This window comes from Homo sapiens, chromosome 20 (assembly GCF_000001405.40).
Source record: "Homo sapiens chromosome 20, GRCh38.p14 Primary Assembly".
Lineage (NCBI taxonomy): Eukaryota > Metazoa > Chordata > Mammalia > Primates > Hominidae > Homo > Homo sapiens.
Window position 1 is genome coordinate 97095 of NC_000020.11, and position 9321 is coordinate 106415.

The following is a 9321-nucleotide window of genomic DNA, read 5'->3' on the forward strand; positions in this document are numbered from 1 at the left end:
CTTATCTTTCCAATCTTCTTTCCACTTAGAATTCCAACTTCCAAGTATGGCAGCCTCATAACATGCCTCTTCAGGTCTCTGTGTTGTCCATGAATGTTAGTTGTGTGCAGTGTTTCTATGCTTTGTATGGCTGTACGCATGTGACTGCTGTTTGTATGGCAACAGGTGGGTCAGTAAGTGTCTTCTATGATACTACAGAGAAGCGGTTATTAACTATAAAGTTGATTAGGTTTTTTTTTTTTTTTGAGACAGAGTCTAGCTCTGTCGCCCAAGCTGGAGTGCAGTGGCATGATCTCGGCTCACTGCAAGCTCTGCCTCCTGGGTTAACGCCATTCTCCTGCCTCAGGCTCCCGAGTAACTGGGACTACAGGCACCCACTACCACACCTGGCTAATTTTTTGTATTTTTAGTAGAGAGGGGTTTCACCATGTTAGCCAGGATGGTCTCGATCTCCTAACCTCATGATCCATCCGCCTTGGCCTCCCAAAATGCTGGGATTACAGGTGTGAGCTACTGTGCCCGGCTGATTATTATTTTTTTTAAGTTCCAGGATAGAAGTGTAGAACATGTAGGTTTGTTACATAGGTATACATGTGCCATGATGGTTTGCTGCACCTATCAACGCATCATCTAGGTTTTAAGTCCCGCATGCATTAGCTATTTGTCTTAATGCTCTGCCTCCCCTTCCCCACACACCCTGACTGGCCCCCATGTGTCACGTTCCCCTCCCTGTGTCCATGTGTTCTTATTGTTCAATTCCCACTTATGAGTGAGAACACGTGGTGTTTGGTTTTCTGTTCCTGTGTTAGTTTACTGAAGATGATGGCTTCGAGCTTCATCCATGTCCCTGCAAAGAGCATGATCTCATTCCTTTTTATGGCTGCATAGTATTCCATGGTGTATATGTACCACATTTTCTTTATGCAGTCTATCATTGATGGGCATTTGGGTTGGTTCCATGTCTTTGCTATTGTAAATAGTGCTGCAGTAAACATACGTGTGCATGTGTCTTTATAATAGAATGATTTATATTCCTTTGGATATATACCCAGTAATGGGATTGCTGGGTCAAATGGTATTTCTGGTTCTACATCCTTGAGGAATCGCCACACTGTCTTCCACAATGGTTGAACTAATTTACATTCCCACCAACAGTGTAAAAGTATTCTTATTTCTCCACAGCCTTGCCAGCATCTATTGTTTCTTGACTTTTTAATAATTGCCATTCTGACTGGCATGAGATAGTATCTCATTGTGGTTTTGATTTGCATTTCTCTAATGATCAGTGATGTTGAGCTTCCTTTCATACGTTTGTTGGCTGCATAAATGTCTTCTTTTGAGAAGTGTCTGTTCATATCCTTTGCCCACTTTTTGATGTTTTTTTTTTCTTGTAAATTTAAGTTCTTGTAGATTCTGGATATTAGACCTTTGTTAGCTGGGTAGATTGCAAAGCGTTCCTCCCATTCTGTAGGCTGCATGTTCACCCTGATGATAGTTTTTTTTGCTGTGCAGAAGCTCTTTCATTTAATTAGATCCCATTTGACAATTTTGGCTTTTGTTGCAATTGCTTTTGGTATTTTCTTCATGAAGTCTTTGCCCATGCCTATGTCCTAAATGGTATTGCCTAGGTTTTCTTCTAGGGTTTTTATGGTTTTGGGTATTACATTTAAGTCTTTAATCCATCTTGAGTTAATTTTTGTATAAGGTGTAAAGAAGGGGTCCCGATTCAGTTTTCTCCATATGGCTAGCCAGTTTTCTCAGCACCATTTATTAAATATGGATCAAATTCACACATAACACTATTAACCTTAAATGTAAATGGGCTAAATGCCCCAATTAAAAGACACAGACTGGCAAATTGGATAGAGTCAAGACCCATTGGTGTGCTGTATTCAGGAGACCCATCACACATGCAAAGACACACATAGGCTCAAAATAAAGGGATGGAGGAAAATTTACCAAGCAGATAGAAAGAACAAAATAGCAGGGGTTGCAATCCCAGTCTCTGACAAAACAGACTTTAAACCAACAAAGATCAAAAAAGACAAGAGCATTACATAACGGTAAAGTGATCAATTCAACAACTAGAGCTAACTATCCTAATATATATGCACCCAATACAGGAGCACTCAGATTCATAAAACAAGTTCTTAGAGGCCTACAAAGAGACTTAGACTCCCACACAATAATAGTTGGAGACTTTAACACTCAGTGTCAATATTAGACAGATCAATGAGACAGAAAATTAACAAGGATATTGAGGACTTGAACTCAGCTCTGGATCAAGTGGACCTAATAGACATCTACAGAACTCTCCACCCCAAATCAACAGAATGTACATTCGTCTCAGTGCCACATGACACTTATTCTAAAATCGACCACATAATTGGAAGTAAAACACTCCTCAGGAAATGCAAAAGAACTGATTAGTTATTAATAAATTGGGCTGAGGCTTGGGCGCTACTGAAAGCCACAATATCAGATGCCAGAATGTCTCAAAATCAAAAAGGTTTTTTCCTCTAATTATTTTTTATGTGATCCAAGCCAAGCTGCCAGTGACTATGGCTGTAGTTTGGATGTTGACCATCAGACCACTGACCTTTCAGTAGACCTCATATTCTAATAGGTCTTAGACCACCAGTTAGGGTGTCCATCATTCAGATTTGATTGGGACTGAGGGGCTTCCCAGAACATGGGAATTAGAGAGCTAAAATCAAGAAAATCCAGAGTAAATTGGGACAAGTTGATCACCCTCACTTCAGTGTACTTCTGTCTAGCAAGCTATTTTTCCATTTTTCATGGCTATACCTCATCACATAGGTCATACATTGGCTTTTCACAGAATCAGTCTAGGGTGCTCTTTTTCCATATTTTTGCCTCAACTGTCATTTCCTGAAACACACTCCTTGAGCATGCAGAACACCTTCCATTCTACTTTGTATTATTTTCTTCCCATCATTTGAACTCTGAAATCATTTTGAGTATTTACTCTCTCTCTGATTTTTTTTACTAACTTATGGCCTAACACCCCTGCTATAATGTACATATAGTCCTCATCTCTTGGTCTTGTTGACCTATGTGATCCAAACTGCAAGAACAGTGCGTCACACATGAGAAATGCTCAATAAAAATTTGAGAACAAATTATTCAGGCAGTTATCTTAATATATATGAGAAGGTTATATAATATAAAACAGTAGTCTTCAAACTGCAATACTGGTTACAAAAAGATTTTTCAAGCTATACATATTGATAGTTTAAAGGAATAAAATTTCAGACCCTCAAGTTCCAAATTTCTTATGATGTTTTGGAGCATTCTTAACAGGCTCTTCTTTTATAACTCCAATTTCTCAATTTTCCTTCTCCCACTCTGAAAAGAAAACTTACCTCTCACCCACCCTTTATCTGACAATCATGGATTGCCCTGAGTGAACAAACCTCCAGTGGACAATTGAAATACTAGTGCTGGTATTCAGAAAGTGAATAATCATAGACTTTGAATAAAAATCCTTTGGAAATAAAAGTGTTTTTAATTTTTTTGTTTACAAAAGCAATGATGGGGTGTCAATCAAGTTGATGGTTAATATTAAATAGATCTTTGAAGATAAACTTTAATAATAGCCTACTATGAAATTTTTTAGCATATCACTTGGAAGAGGTTAAAAGAACTGTGTAAACATTAGAGTCTTATGTTCAAAGAGATTTCACAATAAGCTACAATGTATGTCTATGTTTTGTCACAGAGAAATGTGATAGAATGATTAATAAAAGACTTGCAAACACAAAAATATAGTACATTAGGATCAAATTTTGCAGAGAAGTTTGAATAAAAACTAAAGTTTTAAAAAGAAAAAAGATACAATGTTCCCAATTGCTAAAAAAGAGCTTCTTTGCATATTTATTAAATGAATTATTGTGATTAGCAAATTGTCATGCATTCATATTCCATTGGATGTATTTAGTATTTAGTTGTTACATGTCAATATTTGTAATATGCTATTAGTTATCTTTTTATGATTAAAATTTAAGATGAAATAGTTTATTTCCCAATTTTAAATTGTATTGGGAAAATACACACTTTATTTTTATACCTAGCATAGACTTTTTGTTCCTTCTAATTGGAAAAAGGCTTTGCAATTTGCAATTGGTATATGTGTGACTTCTAGAAATGTGGTGTTCTTTTTTTGTTTTTTGTTTTTTTGTTTTTTTTGAGATGGAGTCTCACTCTGTCGCCCAGGCTGGAGTGCAGTGGCGCCATCTCGGCTCACTGCAAGCTCTGCCTCCCGGGTTCACGCCATTCTCCTGCCTCAGCCTCCCTAGCAGCTGGGACTACAGGAGCACGCCGCCATGCCCGGCTAATTTTTGTATTTTTAGTAGAGACGGGGTTTCACCCTGTTAGCCAGGATGGTCTAGATCTCCTGACCTCGTGATCCGCCCACCTTGGCCTCCCAAAGTGCTGGGATTACAGGTGTGAGCCACCGCGCCCGGCCCAGGAATGCTCTTAACCACTTCATCAAGCATCAAGGTTGGCACTGTCTAGATGTTGGTTTTGATTGCCAACCTACAAAAGAAAAGGGAAATTATAAAAGAGAAAATTAACAAGTGAGTACAGTTTCAAAATCTGTCCTGCAAATGTGTTTTAAACCAAAGAAATCATCTTTGGCATGGGCTATTTGCTTTATAGTCATTCAGAATTGCTTGGTCTCTGTCTCCTGAAGACTGTGGCTAGGATTATTCCTGATGAATGAGAAAGTTACCATAAATCAAAAATAAAATGAATAGAAAACTTAACAGTTGACTCTCAGAAGAAGGTATCTTCCCTCACTTTGCACTGGTTATATATATATATATACACACACATACATATAATTGTATAATATGTATTATTTTATAAATTGATTTAGAAGGTACAAGTGTTGTTTTCTTATATGCATATATTACATAGTGGTGAAGTCTGGGCTTTTAGTTTAGCCATCACCCAAATAGTGTACATTGTACCCATTAAGTAATTTCTCATTTCTTAGCCCCCTTCTACCCTTCCAAGTTTCCAGTGTCTATTACCCACTCCTTATGTCCATGTGTATACTTAGTTTCCACTTGTGAGAACATGTAGTATTTGACTTTCTGTTTCTGAGTTATTTCACTTCAGATAATGAAAACATTCACTTCAGATAATGAAAACACACTTTTCAAAATTCAAAGAGGTTTGAAAAGCTCATGGCCTAATACCCCCACTATAAATTTTATTTTTAAACTGTTCATACTCCTAGAATGAACAGAGGCTTCAAACACTATCTGGTATAAACTGATGATGATTCTTCTACTACTGTGATCATTCTGTTTTTCTATGATTCCTGGATTTTCCTTTTCCATGAATGTGGGCTTTGCAGCATAACTTCTAGTTTGTTTATATCATTGCCCTTTAGGATCTCCTGTAGGCTCAGTAATCTATCACTTCCCTATATGGGACTGACCTCCAAATTACTGACTTTATATGTTCTCTCTCTCTCTCTCTCTGTGTGTGTGTGTGTGTGTGTGTGTGTGTGTGTGTGTGTGTGTGTGTGTGTGTTTAGTATTTGCATTTTGCCACATTCTTATATAGTTTCCAGCTCAAGTCTGAAATTCTCTACCTCTTTATCTATGCTGTCCATATTAGGTATATGATTTGATAAGTTAGACATGTGACATATATTTCCCCCATTCTCTGGGTTGTTTTTTCATTATATCAATGGTGTCTTTTGAAGTAGAGCAGTTTTTAATTTTGATGAAGTTCTCTTTTTTAAAAACACTTTTCTTTTTGGTGTCATATCTAAGAAATCATTCCCTAATTTAAGGTCATAAAGGCTTATTCTTGTGTTTTCTTCTAAGGGTTTTAGCTTTCACATTTAGCTGTACGATCCTTTTTAATTTAATTTTTTTGTATGATGTAAGGTAGGGGTCCAAATTCATTCTTTTGCATGTGGCTCTCCAGTTTCTCCAACACTATTTGATAAAAAGACTATTTACCCACTGAATTGTCTGGACACCCTTATAGAAAATCAATTAATAATAAATGTGATAATTTGGGCAGATCTTTGGAGAGAAAGCACCAAGAGTGGATGGAGAGGCAACACTGACACCAAAGCTGAAGAGAGAGGAAGCTGGAATCTCTGCATGAGGTGCCTGAACATTAGGGCTAGTTCCTGACCCTGAGTGGCTCCTGGGGAAGGGGTAAGTAAGGGGACTAAGGAACATCCCGCTTTTGCCATGGACCTCTGGGATCATAGCTACAGGGTACCCCATGTCCCTCATGGATTTGTAGGCTAGCAGGGAGCAGGCAGAGACAGGGCTTCAGCCAGTGTGAAGCCCAGGAGCTTTTGTGCATGGGGCAGCTCTGGCAGCGCATGACCGCAGGTGCCCATCCCCAAGGGCTCCCCATCTTCTTCTGAGAGGCTGTAGCCCCAGCTGACTGCTGGACCTGGAGAGAGTGGCGCCAGCTTTGCCATGGGACTGGGGTGCATCTGTTCTGCAGGCTCTCCTGCCTGCCAGCCCCTCCCATGGCCCCTGCCTAGCCACCCTGCAGGAGCATGAGCACAGCACAGCCTCCACCACTAAGCCGGAGTGCTTTGCTCCACCTGAGTACATTCCCAGTAACCTGGGAGCACTTCAGATCCCTCAGTGCAGCTGGAGCTTGACCCCAAGCCACAGATCATCCCCGTGCCCCAGGGCTGCAGCACACAGCTTGGGAGCATGCAGCTGAGATCTGTGGCTGACAGGCAAGTAGAGGAGAGGCCCCCAATATCAGAACATAAAGGGGGCAAGATGTGTGGGTTCATGGGCCAGCTTGGGAGCAAGGTGTGCCTCCCTCTGCAGGGTTGGTCTGGAAAGGGTGTGGCCCATCTCCCTGCCATGGCCTCTGCCCAAGGAAGCCCCACAGCCTGGAACACCTAACGAAACACAGAAATGATGCCAGTGATCAGGGTGGGGTCCCTAAAGGCCCAAGAGCAGATCTGGTGAGGAGTTTTCTCTCCCACTCCACTCACCATAGAACATGCCTGCAAATGGAAGGACATGCAAAAGAGCTGAGTAACAGCCTATGTACCAGTCACTACTTAAGCATCAATGACTAGATCTCAGCCCCAACTACAGCACCAAAAATGATTCTGCTAATATACACCCCTGTGAAACCAAGTGCAAGACTTTGCCCATACATAAAGATCCTGTACAGAGCCACGGACCTCTGAAAACATCCAGAAATGAACTCAACTGACTATATTCAACTTACACCACATTTAAAAGAAAACCAGCCCCCCTCCCACCAGAAGAGAAAGAATCAATGCAAGAACCCCAGCAGTTCAAAAAGCCAGGGTGTCCCCTTACCTCAAAATCAGCCCACTATCTCCCCAGCAGTGGTCCTTAACCAGACTGAAATGACAGACATAGAATTCAGAATCCAAATGGCAAGAAGCTCATTGAGATTTAGGAGAAAGTTAAAATCCAATCCAAGGAATCCAGTAAAATGATTCAAGAGCTGAAAGATGAAATAGCCATTTTAAGAAGGAACCAAACTAAACTTCTAGAACTGAAAAATTTGCTACAATAATTTCATAATATGACAGTATAACAGTATTAACAGAATAGACCAAGCTGAGGAAAGAATCTCAGAGCTCAAAGGCTGGTCCTTCAAATGAACAAAGTCAGAAAGAAAAAATCTTTAAAACTGAACAAAACCACCAAGAAATATGAGATTATGTACAGAAACAAAACTTCTGACACACTAGCATTCCCGAGAGGAGGGAAAGAGAGTGAACAGCTTGGAAAATATATTTGAGGATATACTCCATGAAAATTTCCCTAATCTCACTAGAGAGGTTGACATGCAAATTCAAGAAATACAGAGAACCCCAGCTAGATAAAATACAACATGACCATCCCAAGAAACATAGTCATCAGATTTGCCAAGGTCAGCATGAAGGAAAAAAAATCTTAAAGCCAGCTAGAAAGAAGGGTCATGTCATATGTAAAGAGAACCCCATCAGGCTAACACCAGACCTCTCAGCAGAAACCTGACAAACCAGAAGAGATTAGGGGCCTTTTTCAGAATCCTTAAAGAAAAGAAATTCTAACCAAGAATTTCAAATCCCATCAAACTAAGCTTAATAAACAAAGAGGAAATAAAATATTTCTCAGACAAGCAAATGCTGAGGAAATTCATCACAACCAGATATGCCTCCTTACAAGAGATTCTTAAGGGAGCTCTAAACCTACAATCAAAAGAACAACACCTGCTACAAAAAAAAAAAAAAAAACATACTTATGCACATAAAGACACTATAAAGCAACTACACTATCAAGTCTACATAATAACCAGCTAACAACACAATGACAGGATAAAAATCTCGCATATCAATACTAACCATGAATGTAAATGGACTAAACAACCCACTTAAAGGACACAGTGTAGCAAGATTGATAAAAAGACAAGACCCAACTATCTGCTGTCTTTAAGAGACCTACCTCACATGTAACTACACCCACAGGCTCAGAGTAAAGGGATAAAGAAAGATCTGTCACACAAATGGAAAACAAAAAAGAGCATGAGTTGTTATTCTTATATCAGATAAAACAGACTTTAAATCAACAACTATGAAGAGGGACAAAGAAGGGCATTACATAATAATAAAGGATACAATTCAGTGAGAAGACTTAACTGTTGGGCCTGGAGAGAGTGGGACCACCTTTGCCATGGGACTGGGGTGCATCTGTTCTGCAGGCCCTCCTACCTGTAGCCCCTCCGAAGGCCCCTGCCTAGCCACCCTGCAGAAGCATGTGCACAGTGCAGCCTCCACTGCCAAGCCTGAGTGCTTTGCTCCACCTGAATATGTTTATATTCTAAACATATATGTTCCCAACATTGAGGCACCCAGATTCATAAAACAAGTTCTTCTTAACCTATAAAAAGATGTAGATAGCCATGCAATAATAGTGGGAGACTTCAACACCCTACTGAGAGTGTTAGACAAATCACTGAGGCAGAAAATTAACCAAAAAATCCTGGACTTCAACTCAACGTTTGACCAACTAGACCTAACAGACACCTACAAAATATTCCACCCAACAACAACAGAATATAACTTCCTTCTTCTCTTTGGCACGTGGAACATATTCCAAGATTGACCACATGCTCAGTCATAAAGCAAGTCTCAATAAATTTAAAAAAGTCATGCTGAGCCCATTCTCAGGCCACAGTTTAATAAAAATAGAAATGAATATCAAGAAGATCTCTTAAAATTACACAAATACATAGAAATGCTCCTGATACCTGGGTAAACATCAAATTACA

The 9321-nt window shown here is 39.6% G+C and overlaps 2 annotated features.

Annotated features, from left to right (window-relative positions):
* Positions 6040-6541: an enhancer, noted in NCBI's record as "H3K4me1 hESC enhancer chr20:83775-84276 (GRCh37/hg19 assembly coordinates)". NCBI's record gives its function as "activates a minimal SCP1, AML or CMV promoter by ChIP-STARR-seq in naive and primed H9 embryonic stem cells {active_cell/tissue: H9 hESC(naive and primed)}" and the evidence as "EXISTENCE:reporter gene assay evidence [ECO:0000049][PMID:30033119]".
* Positions 6542-7041: an enhancer, noted in NCBI's record as "H3K4me1 hESC enhancer chr20:84277-84776 (GRCh37/hg19 assembly coordinates)". NCBI's record gives its function as "activates a minimal SCP1, AML or CMV promoter by ChIP-STARR-seq in naive H9 embryonic stem cells {active_cell/tissue: H9 hESC(naive)}" and the evidence as "EXISTENCE:reporter gene assay evidence [ECO:0000049][PMID:30033119]".